At 46.8% G+C, this 21,274-nt stretch overlaps 1 protein-coding gene and 1 long non-coding RNA gene across 13 annotated transcripts in view, besides 2 other annotated features; one reads left to right on the forward strand and one right to left on the reverse strand.

Moving 5' to 3' along the window:
• CAPN9 (calpain 9) overlaps nt 1–21,274 on the forward strand; it is a 54,602-nt gene that overhangs the window by 28,348 nt on the left and 4,980 nt on the right. For 10 of the 12 annotated variants that reach the window (NM_006615.3, XM_011544017.2, NM_016452.3 and 7 more), the window contains 10 exons: nt 3,238–3,398; nt 4,444–4,601; nt 4,765–4,973; nt 10,246–10,282; nt 11,787–11,867; nt 14,397–14,454; nt 16,129–16,193; nt 16,691–16,759; nt 17,115–17,193; nt 19,428–19,544. In NM_006615.3, the coding sequence (NP_006606.1) occupies nt 3,238–3,398; nt 4,444–4,601; nt 4,765–4,973; nt 10,246–10,282; nt 11,787–11,867; nt 14,397–14,454; nt 16,129–16,193; nt 16,691–16,759; nt 17,115–17,193; nt 19,428–19,544 (1,034 nt within the window). Of the gene's footprint in view, nt 1–3,237; nt 3,399–4,443; nt 4,602–4,764; nt 4,974–10,245; nt 10,283–10,374; nt 10,493–11,786; nt 11,869–14,396; nt 14,455–16,128; nt 16,194–16,690; nt 16,760–17,114; nt 17,194–19,427; nt 19,545–21,274 lie in introns of those variants that run through there. The other 2 variants (XM_047439807.1, XR_949127.2) reach the window with 2 other exon arrangements.
• On the reverse strand, nt 346–19,476 carry CAPN9-AS1 (CAPN9 antisense RNA 1). The gene is made up of 2 exons (XR_001738518.2): nt 19,378–19,476; nt 346–1,013 (listed from the first exon to the last, which is right to left on the reverse strand). It is a non-coding gene; the product is annotated as a CAPN9 antisense RNA 1 (long non-coding RNA).
• Nucleotides 2,533–2,678: a silencer, noted in NCBI's record as "fragment chr1:230914014-230914159 (GRCh37/hg19 assembly coordinates)". NCBI's record gives its function as "represses an EF-1alpha promoter that drives an FKBP-Casp9 reporter gene in an ReSE screen in phorbol 12-myristate 13-acetate-treated (for megakaryocytic differentiation) K562 erythroleukemia cells {active_cell/tissue: K562(+PMA)}" and the evidence as "EXISTENCE:reporter gene assay evidence [ECO:0000049][PMID:32094911]".
• Nucleotides 8,280–8,869: an enhancer, noted in NCBI's record as "NANOG hESC enhancer chr1:230919761-230920350 (GRCh37/hg19 assembly coordinates)". NCBI's record gives its function as "activates a minimal SCP1, AML or CMV promoter by ChIP-STARR-seq in primed H9 embryonic stem cells {active_cell/tissue: H9 hESC(primed)}" and the evidence as "EXISTENCE:reporter gene assay evidence [ECO:0000049][PMID:30033119]".

The following is a 21,274-nucleotide window of genomic DNA, read 5'->3' on the forward strand; positions in this document are numbered from 1 at the left end:
TGAAACCCCACCCCTGCTAAAAATACAAAAAATTAGCCAGGGGTGGTGGTGAGTGCCTATAGTCCCAGCTACTTGGGAGGCTGAGGCAGGAGAATGGCGTGAACCCAGGAGGTGGAGCTTGCAGTGAGCCGAGATTGCATCACTGCACTCTAGCCTGGACAACAGAGTGATACTCCATCTCAAAAAAAAAAAAAAAAAATACTACAACCCAAAACCATGACTATTCCAGCCTTTTTCATTCTTTTCCCATAGAACACAGCCTCAGTAGTGATTTGTTCTGCCTTCTGTATTTTTATAGTTGTCTTAGTCTATTTGGGTGGCTATAAAAAAATACCATAGACTGAGTGGCTTACAAAGAACAGGAATTTATTTCTCACAGTTCTAGATACCAGGAAGTCCAAGAAGATGACACAGGCAGTACCTATATCTGTGGAGGGCCCTGTTTCTGATTTATAGATGGATCCTTCTCACTCTGTCCTCACATGGTAGAAAGAGGGCAAGGCAGCTCTCTGGGGCCTCTTTTATAATGGCACTAACCCCATCCATGAGGGCTCCACCCTCACAACCTAGTCACCTCCCAAAGGCCCCACCTCCTGACACTACTACTTCGAGGGTTAGGATTCAACATATGAATTTAGGGGAGACCACAAACATTCAGTCCATAACAACATGCAACAGATTTACCCAATGTTTTGCCACTGCATAACATAGATAACCATTTTCCAGCTCGAACAGTTCCATGATCCCTCTTGCTCAACTGCTAACATATTTTAGAATTTCGTTGTGGCAGTTCTGTAATTCAAGGCACCAATGACTCAAGGTAACACTAGCTGCAGTAGTGAATAGACCCCAAATATATAAAGGCTCAAACACAGTAAAGTTTTTTCCTCACTCATTATGACAGTCCAGGGAGGATGTTCATATTCTGTGGGTGGCTCTGTTCATACAGTGATTCAGGAACCCAAACGCCTTCTATTGTGTGGCTCTGCCATCTTCTAAGGTCACGTCATCATCTGCACATAGCCAGCAGAAGAGAAGAATAAAATAAAACATTGAAAAAGACACTCTCACTTTCTAAAAATCTTGACTCAGAAGTAAATGCGTCACGGCTCACATTCTACTCCCAAATGGAAGGAGTGGGGTGCAGTCTTGGTCCTGTGCTGATGACTGCCAGCCATCTCTGCCTCGGGAACCATGAGGGTTTAGGTTCCCCAGATTTGTGGAACACATGCAGGGTGCTTGAGAGATTCCCAAGCTGTCAAATTAGAAATTACAGATAAACTTTGAATTTTGAAGTACAGGGGACTTTGAGTTAGGGGGTTACAAGAGAGGAGCAAAAACTGCAGGAAGAAAGCTGAGTTCTGGAATTAGTACCATCACAGTAATTGCTGCATATGAGCAGGAGGTAGAAACCAGAGTTTGAGAGGCTACCTGAGGTCAGGCTAGTGGAAAGAAGGTCTGGTGCAGACGGTGGGAGAAGCCGGGCAGAGGAAACTCGGAAATTCACAGCAGGAAGCTCCACAAAGAAGAGCGTCCATGTGAGTGATCCATTGCCCTGCCCCTCTTGAAGGAGCAGCCCCAACACCAGGGCTGAGCCTGCCCAAGGTGATGGGTGGTGTTAAATCATGCACTCTGTGCGTGGAGCCCTTCCTCCTGGAATCCTGACTCTGAAGCCCTGTGTAGCCTCTTTCCATTCTTCACCAGCTCTAGGATGTACCTCCTGCAACTCTCTTCTCTCCCCTTACGTATGAATTCCCCCCTTCTTCTGAATCATTCCCCTTAGCACTCCAACACTATCATTTCTCCTACCTGCAAAGAAAAAAAAAGCCTCTCTTGACCCACTCAAGTGACCAACCCAGCTCTCTCCTGTCCTCTACAGCAAGCCCGCCAGTTCCTCTTCTCCCTTACTCTCTCGACTCCACTCAGCTATGAGTGTGCCCCACCACCCCACTAACCCTGATCTTGCCAGGGACGCCACCGACTCTCACTTTGCTCGATCAGATTATCTTGATCCATCAGGAGCCCTTGACGTGCTGGATTGCGGGGGACCACACGCCCTGGTGGTCCTCCTCCTACCTGAGCTCCTTCTCAACATCCTGTCCTGGCCCCCTCTCATCTCCCTAACCTGTTAGCACTGAGGTGTCCCAGGACCCCATCCATGGTCCCCCTCCTGGCTGTCTATTCCCACTCTTTAGGCGTCTCGTCTGGTCTCTTGACTTTAAAAACTATCTTTACACTAATTCTCAGGTTTCTATCTTCAGCTCCTTTCCCCAGGATTCCAGAGTCACATATTCAATGGTCTACTTTAACATCTCTCCTTGAATGTATAATAGACATCTCACATTCACGTGCCCAAACCTGACCTCCTGAGCTTCTCTCTCAAACTGCCCCACCACAGCCTTCCCCATCTCCATCCTTCCAGTCACTCAAATCAAACATCCTGATTCCTTTCATTCGCTCCTTCCCCACATCCAGTCCATTAGCAAATCCTATAAAATTTACCTTTGGAATGTGTCTCAAATCTGGCCACTGTTCATCACCTCCCATACCATCAGCCTGGACCAAGCCACCCTTGTCTCTCACTTGGACACCGGCACTAACTTCCTAGCTGCCTCTCTGCTTCCACTTGTGTCCCCAAAATCTGTTCTCAACACAGCAGCCATGGAGCATGTGACTCCTCTGTTTACTGCCTTCTAAAAGCTCTCCATCTTCTCAGAGTCAAAGCCAAAATCCCTATACCTATTTGATGTACTATGATCTCTTGATCTTATTCCTTACAGACACCTCGTGCCTTCCTGGTGTTCTGTGAGCACCTCAAGCACCTCTCTGCCTCGGGGCCTTGCTGTCCATCTGCCTAGACCCCCAGAGAGCTGCCCTGCCCAGGACCTGGTAGTTCAGGTCTCCACTCAGAATGTGCCCCATCAGTAAGGGCTTCTCTTACCTCCCTGTTTAAAATAGCATCCCACCCCTACGCTCCCATCCTTCAGCCCAATTTGGTTTTTCTCTGTAGCACTTAACATCTACAATCAATCTATATTTTTAGCCTGGTTTTTACCTTTTTAACCTTTATTTTACTTTTAAAAAATTTTCCATCTCCCCACACTTTGCAGTCCCCCCACTCCTTGCGGACAGGAACAAGATGATTTAATGAATAAGTGAATGATTTAATGAATGAGTGAATGGATGATGCCCTCACTCTTGCCCTCCTGTGCATCGTGTCTCTCCGCTTTGCTGCAGGATGGCATTTAAGGACTTCAAGGCCCACTTTGATAAAGTGGAGATCTGCAACCTCACTCCCGATGCCCTGGAGGAAGACGCGATCCACAAATGGGAGGTGACGGTCCATCAGGGAAGCTGGGTTCGCGGCTCCACGGCTGGGGGCTGCCGCAATTTCCTGGGTAGGTAGGCTGCCTGTCACTCTCTCTGCCACTCCCAAGTGTCCCTTCCAACTCAGGACACCAAAGGATAAGGGCCGGGTCCTCAGAGAAAGCCTGAAACATAGTAAGGTTTCAAAAGTGACTGGGGAAAAAAGGCTGCAAAGATTTAGTTGGATAAGAATTGTTTGGGGAAACCTCCTTTGTTTTACCACTTAGGTTATTTTCCATTACAAGTAATGGAAAGCATGACTCATGCCAGTTTAGCAATAGAAAGGATTTGTTATCTCACATAATTGAAGAGCTCAGAGGAAAAGTAGGGTGGGCTTCAGGCACAGTTCTATCAGGGCCCTGGTTCCATTTGCTTGTAATTCACTGTTCTGCCCTCTTTTATGTGTTGACTTCTTTCTCTGTCTGGCTTTCTTTATAATCACAGGAGGGCTGGCAGCAGTATCCAGGGCTTCCTGAGCCCTCATTCACACGAACAGCAAGAGCTCCTGGGGGTATCAAAAAAAAGCCCTCAACTTCCCTCTAATTGGAAATTCCTTGAACTAATATTGTCCAGTGAATGCTATGCATTGATTGGCTTTGTCCAATCCTCGGTGGCAAAAAGGACTGGCACAGACCAATCAGAATTCATGCTGGAGCAGTGCTCGAGGTCAATCCTACTCAAACGGCCCACCATCAAGTAGATGCCAGGGGGACAACCAGAAGTCCACTGCACTCTCCTTTGAAATACTAAGTGGAAAAAAAACTGATAGAACAAGCTTTAGCAGACTAGACCCAGAAGAATGTCCTTAAGAAACTGCATAGGAAATGGTTGAAGAGAAGGTGGAAATGAAAGAGAGGATATTTTGCATTCCCGTTGGGGATTATCAAAAGTAGGGTAGGAGGACTTATTGAACAGGGAGAGAAGGTATTACTTTCTCATGTTTGGTAGGACATATAATGAGGGCAGATAGGTGTATGTGCGTGTGTGTGTGTGTGTGTGTGTGTGTGTGTGTGTGTGTGTGGTCTTTGTGGGTTGTTTTTTAAAAGGGGAAAATAATCTACCTCTCCCAAATGACAGATACCTTTTGGACCAATCCACAAATAAAATTGTCTCTGACTGAGAAAGATGAGGGGCAGGAGGAGTGTAGTTTCCTTGTAGCCCTGATGCAGAAAGATAGAAGGAAACTCAAGAGATTTGGTGCCAATGTGCTGACAATCGGCTATGCCATTTATGAGGTAGGTGGGAACCACACTGCATTTCAGAGTTCTCCATCTGAGTTCTAAATTCGCGGCTCCTCCTCGGTCTCACACCCGAGACTCAACCAAGAGTCCATGAATTGTGTCCGAAAAGCCAAGAGGAACTTCCCTAGGAAACCCCTCCCTTTCTTGCCCATTGCAGTGCCCTGACAAAGACGAACACCTGAACAAAGACTTCTTCAGATACCACGCTTCTCGGGCCAGAAGCAAGACGTTCATCAACCTGAGAGAAGTCTCCGACCGGTTCAAGCTGCCCCCTGGGGAGTACATCCTGATTCCCAGCACTTTTGAGCCCCACCAGGAAGCTGATTTCTGTCTGAGAATCTTTTCAGAGAAAAAAGCCATTACCCGGTGAGTCAGAGGAACAGCTTCCAGAATCCCACTTCTTTTAGTGGTTTATTCACACAGAAGTCACCTGGGAACTGCTGGAGCCAAGACTCCATTCTTCCCTTTCCCATGTGTACCTGAGAAACAAGGCAGGATGGTTTCTTTCTTTTCTTTTATTTATTATTAATTTTTTTTTTTGAAATGAAGTTTCACTCTTGTTGCCCAGGCTGGAGTGCAATGGTGCCATCTCAGCTCACTGCAACCTCCACCTCCCAGGTTCAAGCAATTCTCCTGGCTCATCCTCCCGAGTAGCAAGGATTACAGGCACCCACCACCACACCTGGCTAATTTTTTTTGTATTTTTAGTAGAGACGGGGTTTCACCATGTTAGCCAGGCTGGTCTCGAACTCCTGACCTTAGGTGATCCACCCGCCTCAGCCTCCCAAAGTGCTGGGATTACAGGAGTGAGCCACCACGCCAGGCTGCAGGACACTTTCTTAGCTTATCTGCAAGGCAAGGCACATATCCCTTCTAGCTCTGCTCCCTCGCTCCCTCAAGCAAACCATTGAAAAGTTGCTGTTTTCTACTGGTCCCAGAGTCATGCTCACAAGACATTCTTGGGTGGAGACCTTCATTTTTCAGACCCTATTACCAAGAAGCTTCTTGGATAAGAGCCACATGCAGGGATGCTAGACATTTCTGGGCATGATGAAGGGGGTGGCTATTGCAAATTTCAAGAATGACATGTTCTTTCAGCTCCAATTTAAATAAATGTTGGCAAATCTGCCTCTCATTTTACATACCCAATATTCCACCACATTTTCCTCACAGTGTCTTAGCGAAATTACTTTATATCAGTTACTTCTATGGAAAATGTTTCCCATTACTGCCCATTCACCATTGGTTGCTCTGTGGCACAGGGGGAAAAATGGTTCAAGACAGAGGAATCCATTTCTTTTCCCGATGACAATATTCTAAAGATTAAGGAGAACGCTAAAATCTGCTAATTCTGTATTTAAGCTAGATAAGTCTCCAACAAAAGATCAATCTGCACAGAGTTAACAAGAGAGACAGCTGTGAATACATGACTCACTCTAGTTTCATCTTTCGTTTAGTGAGAGAGAATTAGATTGGTGGCATGCATTGAAAAGACTCTCAATTATGAAGTCTAGTGGGGTTTCCCAAGCTGATTACAAAAGGCATGGTTCTTTCTCTTGGCTAAATAGATGCAGAAAAGTCTTTAATTTTTAAACACTCTACCAGAGAATTTTTCTCCAGCCTTCTCCCAGATACTAGTACAAGATGGGGATGAATATCCTAGTATCTGTTCACACAAAAGTACCCTGTATGAGATCCATGCAGATTGACATCTCTTATGGGTGGCAAGAACAAGAGAGACCCAAGTTATGCCAATGCCATGCCTCTTGTTCTCTATCTTATTAGTGGGGTGAGCTCAGAGTCACTGACATGCATAAGGTGACTTGTACATGGCAAAAAACTCCATACTCAATCTTGCTCTGAACAAGATTCTTTAATCTGCTATGATATTGAGTATAAGAATCAGCTCTGTAGCTTGGTAACAAAAATTCACACTGAGCTGTGTTTGCATTGGTTTAGCTCTCAGACAGACTCCTGATTAAACAAACAGAAGTTCTGAAAGGGTTATGTTATGGATGCCCAGGGGATGAGGAGGAAAGGGAGGACTACCCCCAATTGATGTTAATGTTTATTTGTATTCCCTTTGACTTTGTATCAGTTTTTCTTTGAGAGCCCTTCAAGTTTTAGTCTATGAGACTGTATTCTTCCAAATGTTTTTAGCATCATCAAAAGCTGAAGCCTGCTCCTCCTCTTAATATTACTACTATCCAAATATTACAAGTCCCCCTAAATATGTGAATAGCAAAAAAACATGATTGCATCATTTTTCCTCTTTTTCCCTAACATAAGCACAGAGACACCCATCCCTCCCCAACCCCACCAGTGGAATCAGGAATTTACATCTGTGATGAGAGGCAGGAGTTAGGGATGCAGCTTCAAAAGGTGGTCTTTAGGCCAGGCACGGTGGCTCATGCCTGTAATCCCAGCACTTTGGGAGGCCGAGGCAGGAGGATCACCTGAAGTCAGGAGTTTGAGACCAGCCTGGCCAACACAGAGAAACCCTATCTCTACTAAAAATACAAAATTAGCTGGGCATGGTGGCACGTGCCTGTAATCCCAGCTAATTGGGAGGCTGAGGCAGGAGAATCACTTAAAACCCAGGAGGCAGAGGTTGCAGTGAGCCGAGATCATGCCATTGCACTCCAGCCTGTGCCACAGAGTGAGACTCCGTCTAAAAAAAATGGTGGTTTTTTTGGTTCTGATTCAACTTTGTAATCTTTTAAAATGCACCCCCTCCCCAGTGCCTACCACTCAATAGGCTGAATGGTCTCCAACAGATATGTATCTCCTTTGAAGATGCAAAGTTCATGGAGAGTGAATGTGTAATGCAACTGCACTGTTTATGCGTCTTTGGAGGTGCTGCTATTCTACAAAACACTTTATCAGTTGCCCTTGTTAAAGTACATTAAAGAAATAAGGAGTGACTGCTGGCTTAACTTCTTTTAGTTTCATAAATCCAGAATTCACAAGTTCTTGGTGATGGCTGATTTAGTTTGAATATGTGTCCCCATCAAATCTGAAGTTGAATTGTAATCCCCAATGTTGGAGGTGGAGCCTGGTGGGAGATGTTTGGGTCATGGGTGTGGATCCCTCATGGCTTGGTGCTATCCTCGTGATACTGAGTGAATTCTTGTGAGATGTGGTTAATAGTATGTGGCACCTGCCCCACCCCTGCTCCTGCTTTTGCCATGTGACATGACTCTTCCCCCTTCTGCCATGATTGTAGTTTCCTAGGTCTCCCTAGAAGTCAAGGAGTTAAGTTAACTTCTAGGGAATACACCATGCTTCTTTGTAAAGCCAATTGAACCTCTTTTCTTTGTAAATTAGTCTTAGGTATTTCTTTATAGCAGTACAAGAACAGCCTAATACAGAAAATTGGTACAGAAGAGTGGGGCATTGTTATAAAGATAACTGAAAATGTGGAAGTGACTTTGGAAGTAGATAACAGGCAGAGGTTGGAAGAGTTTGAAGGCCTCAGAAGAAGACAGGAAGATGAGGAAAAGTTTATAACTTCTTAGAGGCTGGTTAAATAGTTATGGCCTAACTGTTGACAGTGATATGAACAGTGAAGTTCAGGCTGCCGAGGTCTCAGATGGAAAGGAGGAACTCATTGGGAACTGAAGCAAAGGTTATGTGTGTTATGCCCTAGCAAAGAACTTGGCTGAATTGTGTCCATGCCCTAGGGATCTGTGGAAGTTTGAACGTCATAGTGATGATTTAGGGTATCTGGAAGAAGAAATTTCTAAGCAGCAAAGCATTCAGGATGTGACCTGGCTGCTTCTAACAACCTATACTCAGATATGGGAGCAAAGATATGACTTAAAGCTGGAATATATACATTTAAAAGGGAAGCAGGGCATAAAAATTTGGAAAATTTGCAGCCTGGCTATATAGCAGAGAAAGAAAAAGCTTTTTCGAGAGAGGAATTCAAGCAGGCTATGGAGCAACCACTTGCTAGAGATATTTACATAACTAAAAAGAGCCAAGTGCTATAACCAAGACAATGGGGAAAAGGCCTCAAAGGCATTTTAGAGACCTTTGCAGCAGCACCTCCTCCCATCACAGGCCGAGAGGCCTAAGAGGAAAAAAATGGCTTCATGGGCCAGGCCTAGGGCCCCACTGCTCTATGCAGCCTCAGGACACTGTTACCTGCATCCCAGCTGCTCCAGCTCCAGTCTCTGCTCAAAGGCACCAGATACAGTTTGGGCTACTGCTTCAGAGGGTGCAAGAGTGCAAGCCATAAGCCTTGACAGCTTCCATATGGTGTTAAGCCTGCAGGCACACAGAGTGCAAGACTGAATGAGGCTTGGCAGCCTCCACCTAGATTTCAGAGGATGTATGGAAAAGCCTGCATGCCTAGGCAAAAGCTTGCTGCAGGGACAGAGCCCTCACAGAGAACTTCTACTAGGGCTATGCAGATGGGGAAATGTGAGGTTCAAGGTCTCGCACAGAGTCCCCACTGGGGTACTGCCTAGTGGAACTGTGGGAAGGCGGCCATCATCCTCCAGACCCAAGAATGGTGGATCCACTGGCAGCTTGCACCTTGAGCCTGGAAAAGCCACAGGTACTCAACAACCCATGACAGCAGCCAAAGTCACAGGGACAGAGCTTCCCAAGGCCTTGGGATCCCACCCTTTGTACCAGTGTTCCCTGGATGTAGGACATGGAGTCAAAGGAGATCACTTTGGAGCTTTAAGATTTAATGACTGCCCTGCTGGGTTTCAAACTTGCATGGGGCCTGTAGCCCCTTTCTTTTGGCCTTTTGGAATGGGAATGTTTACCCAATGCCTATACTCCCATTGTATTTTGGAAGTATAAAATGGAATTTGTATATCTTGGAACTTGATTTTGATTTGACAGGCTCATAGGTGATGGGACTTGCCTTATCTCAGATGAGACTTTGGACTTTGGAATTTTGAGTTAATGCTGGAATGACTTAAGACTTTGGGGGTTATTGGGAAGGCATAATTATATTTTGCAGTGTGAGAAGGACATGAGATTTGAGGGCCCATAGCAGAATGATAGAGTTTGAATATGTGTCCCCACCAAATCTGATGTTGAATTGTAATCCCCAGTGTTAGGGGTGGGGCTTGATGGGAGGTGTTTGGGTCATGGGGGCGGATCTCTCATGGCTTGGTGCTGTCTTCACGATAGTGAGTTTGCACGAGATCTGGTTGTTTAAGGGTATTTGGCAACTCCCCCATACCACCCTGCTCCTGCTTTTTCCATGTGACTTGCCTGCTCCCCCTTCACCTTCTGCAATAATTGTAAGTTTCCTGAGGCCTCCTTAGAAGCAGAACGGATGCCAGCACTGTGCTCCTGTAAAGCCTGTAGAACCATGAGCCAATCAAATCTCTTTTCTTTATAAATTACCTAGTCTCTGTTATTTCTCTATAGCCATGCAAGAATGGTCTAACACAATGGCTGTCCCTCTTATTTACATTCTGAGCAAGGTCTGAGTGACTAAGGGTGGGGGTGTCAATGCATGGGGTCTGCAAACTCTGTGAAATGTAAACAGCACTGAACAATAAGGGATTCAAAGGGACAGAACCTTCCCAGGCTCTGGGCTCTTCAGCTCTGCAGATCCCAATGGGAAGTTAATCCACAATTGAGGCAGTGTGTTTTTCTGCCCCTACAGGGATATGGATGGAAATGTAGACATTGACCTTCCTGAGGTGAGTCTTCTGATGTTGCTATGGAGTATGGGATTCAGGTGATGGTTCTGGAAACCTTCCTTCTAATCACAGCATCATGTAAAACTCTGCAGTTCAGGGATGGTTACATGCAATCAAGTAAGCATCTATGATTCTAACCTCCTGGAGACCAAGATGTGTGTGTTCTAGTCTGTGCTCTTCTAGTCCACAAGGACCTGGCATGGGAGTGAGGTGGGTGCTTGGTATAAAGTTCTGTTCGATGTCATCTTCCTCTGTGCTACTGTCAACTGAAATAACAAACACAGAGACACTCTCTAAAAGAAAAGCTATTTATTTAGGGATAAAGCACTGCAATGGGAAGGTGCATGCCATAGTAAACTATGCACCTATTTGGGGAGGTAAAGGAGGACAAAGGTTTTTAAAGAAAAAATGAGAAGGATTACATAATTGTTTTGAAATAATTATCCTTGGCTACAAAGATCAATAACAAAAGTGAAGCCAGTCTGATGTTGGACAGGCAGTTGCTAGGCAGAGGTAGAAGTATTTTTGTGTATGGTTGCGAGGGCCTCTGTGAAAGGTTGTGGGTTTTGCAGCCTTTTGTGATATTTTTGTTATCAGGCAAATAAGCATGAGAACCTTCTGGCCTTCCCGAGCTCTATTTGTCAGGGTTTTCTTAACATTAGTGACTTCATTTTGACTCAATAACTTTCACACTACCAACTCCACCTGAGAGAAGGCTGCCGCTTCTGAAGTGGGTAGACTTTTAATTGTATTTTAAGAAATCTAATCAATGAAAAGAAAACCAGAGAGGCAGGGAGATGTTTTTTACTGTGGACTCAGGGGAACACATTACATCTCCCCTATGTTATGTGGTGTGGAAGGGGTGACATGGGGGTGGCTTTACCCTCGTCCAAGGGCTGGAGGACTCGCAAGAGGCCCTGAGATACTATAGCTGGAAATAGTCTGACACGTCCAGGGACAGCAGAGATCTGCTTTTAGGAGGGAATTTGCTGTTCCATGCTGGGGCACAGCTTATTAATGGTGCTAAAAAACCAAAGAAACCAAAAATCACCCAAAACATTTACTGAGCTCTTTCTATATACCAAGCCCAGAGCTTAGTGGTAGAAACAGACTCTTGCCTTCAACGATTTTACCAGCTATCAAAACAGATGATGAAGTAAGTCATTCCAGTCCAGGGTGGTAAGAAGTAAGCCAGAGGAAGGGCAGGAAGCATGAAAATCCAATGGCCAGGACCTAACTTAGGCACGGGTCAAGGTCCTTTGGCCTCCTCGTCTGTAAGGCAGAAGGGCTCCACAGGTCCAGCTAATAAAGTCCTTCTAGTCTCACCTTCTAAAAGAGCCTTCATGAGAAAATGTTCCTCACGCTACAGGACGCAGCTTGTGCACACTGCCTCAGGAGGGTGACATGGGGCTGGGCACACAGGCTCCTGGCTTCTTTCCTGCTATTTTTGTCATGTTTCTTTTTTGTGGATCATTTTGTGCAAGTTTCTTTGGCTGTTTTTTAGCCTCCAAAGCCAACTCCACCTGACCAGGAGACAGAGGAGGAGCAGCGGTTTCGGGCTCTGTTTGAACAAGTCGCTGGTGAGGTAGGACATGCCCCACTTCCATCTCCCCACCAGGCTGAGGGCCTGGACCTGCTTCCTAGCAAAGGGTTGCAGTCGTGGGGTTGGTCAGCAACGTCATCCTGAGGCATGATGGAGCTTGTTGCAAAGTAAGACCAGCACTGATCATTCAAGGCCCAAAGACCACCCTGTTTACAACATTTACTTACACAGTCTGCGGCTGTGGATGGGGCCAGTGAGCCCAAAGAAGCTTGGAATAGGCCCAGACGCTTTGTTTTTTAGTTCTGTTTTGCTTTAGACAGAGTCTCACTCTTTTACCCTGGCTGGAGTGCAGTGGTATAAGCCTAGCTCACTGCAGCCTCAAACTCATGGGCTCAAGAGATCCTATCACCTCAGCTTCCTGAGTAGCCGGGACTATAGGCACATGCCATCATGCTTAGCTAATTAAAAAAATAAATAATAAAGAGTCTTGCTATGTTGCCCAGGCTGGTCTCAAACTCCTAGGCTCAAGCAATCCTCTGGCCTCAGCCTCCCAAAGTGCTGGGATTACAGTCATGAGCTACCACGCCTGGCCCCAGGTGCTTTCTTTGGGAGGCTAGAGCAAGCCTTGAAGAGGTGACTCCTTTGAACTCTGCCTGAAAATCACTGCCATTAGAATACTCTGTTTGCTGTAGTAAAGGGGATCATGTTCAAGGAGGTCCCTATTCAATTGCAACTTCCTGTCCCCCACCCTATCCTAGCTCTTTCCACTGCTCAGCTTCCTTTTTAGGGACACTGGATGGAGCCTCACACAGATCCAGGCTCTTCCTCCACCTGCTGGGGTCAGGGGAGGGAAGTCTTTCTAGAAACTGCCCCAGAGGTGCTCTCTTGGAGCCATAAATACAATGAGCTGATGAACTAATTCATGTCAAGGTGCTAATGACTCTATTAGCTTCATGTGTTTCCCCAAACTGGGGTTCCTGAATTATGAAAGGGGTCACCTGGAGGGGTGATATCTAAACCTAGGGGCTGTCTGATGGTAGTATATTAGGCACTGCAATAAACAGGCAAGGCAGGGAGATTAGGGGACCACAGGATCGGATGGAGAAAATGGGGGCTCATGTGACTGCTTAAAGCACAGCAGGAAGGTGGCTGAGCGCAGCCCTGGGCGGGACAGAGCATGGTGAGGGGGGAAGGCAGTGGTGACCTCCCTGCTCCAGGTGCTATCTGGAGCATGCTGGGTCAGACCCAGCAAGACAGGCTCAGAGGAGTTAAAGAGGTTCATGCGGGTGCGCAGAAGTTGTCAGATGGAGATCCAGAGTTTGGAAGGGAAGCGGTGAATGTTGCAGGAGTTTCAGTCGACCTTTATTAACAACCAAAAAGTACCTCTAGAGTTCAGCCCTCCTTGACTCATGTCCTGCTTTTCTTCCAAGTAGTTGGATGACTTGGGCACATGGCTCCATTTCTCTTTCCTCCTCTTTCAGTGGGGGCCTGGCTGGGGCAGTGCTTTCTTACCAACACCAAACATCCCAAACCCCCATTCCCCAGGCCCAGAGGCTTCAGGACGGACATGTGTTAGAAGCACTCCACAGCATAACACACGGCTAGCGCAAAACCCTGACTAAAATGAGGTCTATGTCAGTGCTACTCAAACACACATGTGCATAAAGTCACCTGGGCATCCTGGGAAAAAAAACACAGATTCCTCATCAATAGGTCAAGAGCATCCTGGGCAACATAGGGAGAGCCCATCTCTGCAAAAATAATCAGCCCAGCATGGTGGTGCATGCCTATAGTCCCAGCTACTTGGGAGGCTGAGGTAGGAGGATTGCTTGAGCATGGGAAATTGAGGCTGCAGTCAGCTGTGGTCACACCACTAATACTCCAATCTGGATGACAGAGCAAGACCCTGTATCAAAAAAAAAAAAAAAAAAAAAAAAAAAGCCTGAGTCTCAGGGCAAGGTCTGAGACTCTCCATTTCTAACCAGCTTCTGGGGTGGGGGCTGCTGAGATTTCCTGGAGTGCCTTAGATCCATGATTCTGAAATTCACCCTTATTCTTAATTCTAAATCAACTCCTAGGTCTTAAAAATAGGACCATATTCTCAGGTCCTCTGATTTCAAGATTCCCTGGGGTAAGCCCCAGATGCGGGACTATTTTAAAGCTCTGCAGGTGGTTCTACTGTACAGAGGAAGACTCAGTCTGGTTTTCCCAAACTGCCTCCAACATAGGAATCATCTGAGGAGCTTAGGACAATTCCAGGAGTTGGTTCTGACCCTCAGGGAAGCTGGGAAACCACTGCCTTGCCCTGCCCAGCTTTTCATGCGCTTTCCTGGGTTGGGATGTCTCTCAAGTTAGGCTCTCTCCTAGTTGGGCTGGCATGTCCCTAAAACATGTGACATATGAGACACATAGCTGCAGCTACACAGGAGATAGGTACATCTGCCCACAGCAGGGTCCTGAAGGCTGGTCTGTCACTGGAGCCAAATGAAGCTCAGAACTGATTTAAAACAAAAATAAACTATAAAAGAAGGTGCCAAGGGCTATAACAAACAATTGTCTCCACTTCAACAGGACATGGAGGTGACAGCAGAGGAACTTGAGTATGTTTTAAATGCTGTGCTGCAAAAGAGTAAGTGCCAACCCCATCGGGGTCCTGGGGCACCTATGGAGGGACAAGCGACCACACTGCCTGGGTCCCCTCCCTGCTCCTCCGAGCCGCAGATCTGCTTCCCAGGGCTGATTTGTAGGTAGACTTTAAAAATAGCTTTCATTGTTTGTTTTCCTGATTCCAAAAACGATGCAGGTTTATAGTAGAAAATTCTTAAAAATGCAGAAAAGCCTAATGACAAAGATAGTCACAAATGATCTCACCACCATAAATAACCACTCTTAACATATGTGTATCTGCATGTATGTACATGTGTGTCATATGCGTAGACATATAATGTTAGAATGTTTCATCACTCCAACAAGAAACCCTTTACCCATTAACAGTGTTAACCCTGTACCCATTTCCCCCAGCCCCAGGCAACCACTCATCTACTTTCTCTATAGATTCTATTTACATATTCTGAATATTTTATATAAAAGGAATCATAGGCCGGGTGCGGTGGCTCACGCCTGTAATCCCAGCACTTTGGGAGGCCGAGACAGGCGGATCACCTAGGTCAGGAGTTCAAGACCAGCCTGGTCAACATGGTGAAACCCCATCTCTACTAAAAATAAACACACACACACACAATCAGCCAGGTGTGGTTGTGGGCACCTGTAATCCCAGCTGCTCGGGAAGCTGTGGCAGGAGAATTGCTTAAACCTGGGAGGTGGAGTTTGCAGTGAACCAAGATCACACCGTTGCACTCCAGGCTGGGCAACAGAGCAATACTCCGTTTCAGGGGGAAAAAAAGGAATCATACAATATGTGGTCCTTTCTGACTGGCTTTTCTCACATGGTGTGATGTTTTCCAGGTCCATCCATGCTGTAGCATGTATCAATGTCTCATTCCTTCTTACAGCCAGACAACATTCCATCGTATGGATGGGCCCTGTTCTGTTTATTCATTCATCTATTGGTGGCCACGTGGGTTGTTACCGGTTTTTGGTCATTATGAATAATGCAACTGTAAACACTCCTATACAAGTTTTTTGGGTGGGCATGTGTTTTTACTTCTCCTGGGTATATAGTTATGAGGATGGTTCCATCACAATGCAACAGTCTATGGTTACATGGTGGCATAACCATCCTCTTAATTATATGTTTAGTTAAGAGGATTGCTTAACTCTATGTTTAATGTTTTTAAAAACTATCCAACTGTTTTCTAAAGTGACTATTTCACATTTTCACCAGCAGCAGTATGGGAGTACAAATTTCTCCAACAAATTTAAATCCTGCCATTAAATATGCTGCAAAAACATGATTCCTAAGGGTCGTATAATACTTCATTATATAGACATAGCCTAAGGTATTGACCATGCCTCTCTATTGGTCATTATTTCACTTCCAAATTTTTGCCACTATAAATAATATGATGACAAAAATCTTCATATGTTATTCTTTGCTCGGGGTTCTTAGAACTAGAATAAATGGATGAAGGCGTATTCCCACTTTTATTGCTTTTTTCACATTTAGCCAATTTTCCTTCTGAAAGGTCATGTTAACTTCTACTCCTACCAGCATCATAAGAGAGTAGCCACATCACAGCCCCCAACAGCCCTGGATTTAGCCACATTATTGGGCTTTCAGCAGATGGGTACATAGGTTTATCTTATCGGGTCAACTGAATTCAGCTTTCATGTGCAATTTCAGAAAAGGACATCAAATTCAAGAAGCTAAGCCTGATCTCCTGTAAAAACATCATTTCCCTGATGGACGTATCCTTCCAAATATTTGAGCAGAAATAGACATGGATCCTGGGCTTTAAGCACAGTAGAGTAATCTTCAATAGTGCAGACTCTCCAAGAACATGACATCCTTAGCCAGCAGAATAGTCTTCTTCACAGAAAATAACCCAAAGCTGGGGGACCCCCATGCTGAAATTGGATCAGAATCAAGATGCACAAGACTGCCTAGTGGTGGGGGTGGGGAGCTTTTGAAGGGACTTGGGGGTCTTCTTGCCACTTTGGGATCCCATCCAAGGGAACAGAGTTCTGTTTTTGTGAACTTTCCGGGACCACCCCCATTCCACTTCTGCCGTTTCCCCTCTTCAGAGATTTGTGGTTTAATCATTAAAACCACTTCCCCAGGGCCCCAAACCTGTGCACCCAGGCCAGCCCATCGGCCCTCCCCCTCTGCAGTCCCAGAGCTGAGGTCCCACGAGGAGCCTCAGGTTGAAACACTGCTCATGTCTCCCTTAACCCACATGGCACAGACCAGCGGCAATGGGAAGCTGGAGTTTGATGAATTCAAAGTGTTCTGGGACAAGCTGAAGCAGTGGATTGTATGTAACCTGGAGCAGGGCTTGGCCTCTGGGGGACCCAGTGAACCTAGAGCAGAGGGGATTTAAAATGGTGCAGCAGGCTGCAGGCTATAGGCTAGAGGAATTGTATTCGGACAGGGGAGAAGGGAAAACAGCATCATGCTATTCCGATGCTTACGGGAGTACCACCGTGCTTCCACCCAAGACGAAAAGGAAGACAAAAGGGAGACCGACTTCTTTTGGAAGGCCCAGTCCAACTGTGGCCTCTGCGGCCCCTAGAGGGTAGCTCCCCCGGGCTGGCTGTCACCCATTTACTGCCATCAGCGATGCCTTTCAGGCACGCTCCTTCTCAAGGCTTCTGCTCTCCACCCTTTAGAACCTTTTCCTTCGGTTTGATGCTGACAAGTCCGGCACCATGTCTACCTATGAACTACGGACTGCACTGAAAGCTGCAGGTAAAGAAAAGACTGGAGTACAGGTGGCTGACTGCATGCCAGGTACTGCCTGTGGGCAACCTGAGCAGATGGCAGGTCTTCTCTCTGCTGCCCAGGAGGTGGGCCTCTGAGCCCAGTTGGTGATTCTTAAGGTCACGGCCCTTGGAGTGGTGGCACCAGGGTTCAGACCCAGGACTCACTTCCTGACACCAGGGCCCTCATTTTAAACCACTGTGAACATTGGTAGAAACTTTTTAAATGTATCTGCTAAAAATGAACTTGGCCTGCCCTCTGGAGGCCTCATAGCCTCTGACCATGTTTTCTGGCCCAGTACTTAACACATGGCTCTTTGGTGGCAAGCTGCAGTGATTCCAAACTTCTCATTTCTGCTCTCAGATGGTTGTTATCGTGGATGAGACAGAGCATGCAGCACCCATGGTTTGGGGTCCGCACGTCCCTCTGCCACCTGTGGCCCTGTCCCGGGTTTTATCAGCATCAGACTCTGAATCCAAAATGGATGACTGCATCATAGTTTATACCCTGCTCCCTTACCCAAAGGCTGGGCTCCAGGTGGCATTTCCCACTCTTGTCCGGTGCTGGATGGCTGTCGGCATCTCTGTGGTCCCATGTCCTGCACACACAACCGTAGTTTCCACGAGCGCTCTGCAGACCTCCCGCCTGCCGGGCTGCCTGCGCTTCTCACCAAGCACACCTCACAGATAGGGGCCTCCTGAACCTTTTAAAGTGGTTCTCTCCCAGGGAAAGCAAAATCTGGAAACATGTCCAGGCTCAGGCCTGATAAAAGGATGAAGTATACACAGCCAGGACCATCTCGGGTCCTATGTGAGGGAGAAGAAAATCAGATGATTTATAAATGAGCAAAGTGCCAGGCTGAGAAGGGGCGCCTGATTTTCTTAGGGGATGATGACTCTGTTTCCATGGTAGGAGGAGGAACTGAGCAGGGGACAAAGGGAGCACTCAGAGAGGAGGGGCATGGCTGTGTCTTTCCTACCCTGACGTGGTGTGGGGAGAATCGCCCCTCATCCCCCTCCTCTAGCCCCAAACATCAGGATTCTGGCCAAGGCTGGCAGCCAGCACTGCCGTGCAGGCTCCAGGGACTCTGTGCTCTGTGTCTGACCTGCCTGCTCCTCTGCTGGAATTAGGAAGAAGCAGAAAGACCCTGGGTGGATTTCTGAACAATCCTGTGAACACCTCCTAGAAAGTGAACATGTAGACAAAAATGAAAGGGGGAAAGAAATCACTTCTAAGGGCACTAATTAGAAATCAAAGCACTGGCCAGGTGTGGTGGCTCACACCTGTAATGCTAGCACTTTGGGAGGCCTAGGTGGGTGGATCATGAGGTCAGGAGTTTGAGATCAGCCTGGCCAACATGATGAAACCCCGCCTCTACTAAAAATACAAAATTAACCAGTTGTGGTGGCAGGTGCCTGTAGTCCCAGCTACTCAGGAGGCTGCAGCAGAAGAATCACTTGAAATCAGAAGGCAGAAGTTGCACTGAGCCGAGATTGCACCACTGCACTCCAGCCTGGGCAACAAGAGTGAAACTCCATCTCAAAAAAAAAAATCTAAATATCAAATCCAGAAGGAAGTTCACTTTGTCTAAACTCCTCATTTGACAATGAGGAAACCAAAGCCCAGAGAACTGAACCCATATGCCACGGCTGGAGCAGTGCCAGGGCTCAGATCCAAGCCTCCTGGCTATAGCCTGTCATTCTTCCCCCATCGTGGATGTGTAGGAATGGGCCCTGGCAGAGTATCATTCTCCGTGGGCAGCAGCATCCCCTCCAAGAAACTTTCTAGGGCCACAGCTGGAAGTGACCTGAGACATAGAACGCGAGGGGAGGCTGGTGTAGGAATGAACTTGGGGCTCAGACACCACCCAGTGTTAAGTTCCCCCAAACAAAGCTTCCTGTAAAGTCAGCGAGACTCTATGGGTGATGTTAGCATCAAAATTAAGATCACAAACTCGCTAAACTCAGAAGCCATTAAACACAGAAAGCACGCCTGAGAGTCCCCCGCACACTCGCCCCTGCACCACAGATTCACACTCTCACGCTGCATTCACACCAAGGGCAGCAGTCCCACTGGGTCTGGGGACCCCAGCTTTGAGGAGTGAAACAGTGGCTTCCTCTTCTGAGCCCTCTCCTCAGCTGCCTGGGAGCTCCCTCAAAGGTGCAGACTCACCTCGGGGCTCGGATACAGCGAGTCCTGGGTCTCCTCCTTTGTCCCCACAGGCTTTCAGCTGAGCAGCCACCTCCTGCAGCTGATTGTGCTCAGGTATGCGGATGAGGAGCTCCAGCTGGACTTCGATGACTTCCTCAACTGCCTGGTCCGGCTGGAGAATGCGAGCCGTAAGTGTCCAGCGAGGCTGAGGGTGCACCTCGGGGTGGCATCTTCAGTCACCCTCCATGAGCGCATGAGAAACAGCCTGGTTAAAGTAATGGCAAAGATAGACCACAGAGAGCCATGGTCTGATGTGTGTGGACCCATGGGCCTGTGCGGTTAGCTAAGGAGCAGAATGTGCCAGCCTCCCCTGCAGCACGTTTCTTAGCATCGCCTTTCTTTATACATTCACAGTGCCTCTGTGGGAGGATGATGGGCTGGGGCAGGTTTGTGCCTTGTGTTTGAGGAAAGGTTCAATTGCAGGTCAAATCCCATCATAGCATATAGAAACAGGAGAGTCTCAGTCCCCCTTCCTCCCCCCTTCCCCGCCCTGTAAGCCCTAGACATTGACCCAGTTATCTCAAATAAGATTTGTTACACCACAAATAGAGAGGGATTATGTGCCCGTGCGCTTCAGTGTTTGCAGTTTATTGTCATAGCCATCCTGCCCCTCAAAGGTGGTTTTGAAGGTGAGGCTGAGTGAAGCATGTCCAGGGCCTGTAACTCAGTACTGGAGTGGCTATGAGGACATGCCCTGTGTGCAGGTGCCAAAGGACCCGTGCCCTCAAGGGTGCCTCGTGCTTGGTTTAATGTTCTGGCGTTTCCATCTTGAAAGTCTTCACAACTTAGGAGCAGGGGGCCCCGCATTTCCATTTTGTCCTGCTTGGTATTTTCTAATCTATGTTCCATAGGCCACTTCGAGGTATGAATACTTGATTAAAAAAAAAAAAAAGGCAGGGGGCTGGGCACAGTGGCTCACGCCTGTAATCCCAGCACTTTGGGAGGTTGAGGCAGTTGGATCGTGAGGTCAGGAGCTCGAGACCAGCTCATAGCGAAACTTTGTCTCTACTAAAAATACAAAAAATTAGTCAAATGTGGTGGTATGCACCTGTAATCCCAGCTACTCGGGAGGCTGAGGCAGGAGAACCCCTTGAACCTGGGAGGTGGAGGTTGCAGTGAGCTGAGGTTTGCCACTGCACTCCAGCCTGGGCAACAGTGGGAGACTCCATCTCAAAAATATAAATAAATAAATAAATAAATAAATAAATAAATAAATAAATAATAAAATTAAATTAAATTAAAATAAAAAGGTGAGGGCTGTGACCCTTGGTTATCAGCATGATAGCTCCCTCTGCTTCTTTGGTAATAGAACACTAATTACTTGCCTGAAGCACAGCCCCTCTAGACTCTAAGCTCCAGGAGAGCCGTAATTTCTGGACAATCAATGAGTATGTGTTGATTAAGGAATGATGAGAGAAAATCAGAGACAGACCAGCAGGCCCCAAAGGGTCTAGTATATCAAGCCAGGAAGCCGGCTTTCCCTAAGGGGTTACTGGTAGCTAGTGAGAGGTGCATTCTAGAAAGACCCCTCCTGAAACAGAATCCGTTATTAGACTTACAGGGTGGTCAGAGCTGACCCTAGAAATAATGAGATTTGCTAGTTTCTCTTCTCTCCATTGCTCTTTCCCTTTCTAAACCACCCAGGTGTAATCCTTCCCAGAACGGGGGGTGGGAGTGCCTCAGCTTTTCTTATAGTAGAGGAATATTAGGGTGAAGACCCTTTAGGCTTAACACCATCCACTCTGGCATCCTCACATTAGATTTGCCTGGAGAACTTTTAGAATTACCAAGGATGGAGCTTTGCTGCAGTATTATTTTAACTTTTTATTGTAAGAATGTCAACCCTCCAGTTAGATAT

The sequence above is a fragment of the Homo sapiens genome, chromosome 1 (genome assembly GCF_000001405.40).
Source record: "Homo sapiens chromosome 1, GRCh38.p14 Primary Assembly".
In the NCBI taxonomy this organism is placed as follows: Eukaryota; Metazoa; Chordata; class Mammalia; order Primates; family Hominidae; genus Homo; species Homo sapiens.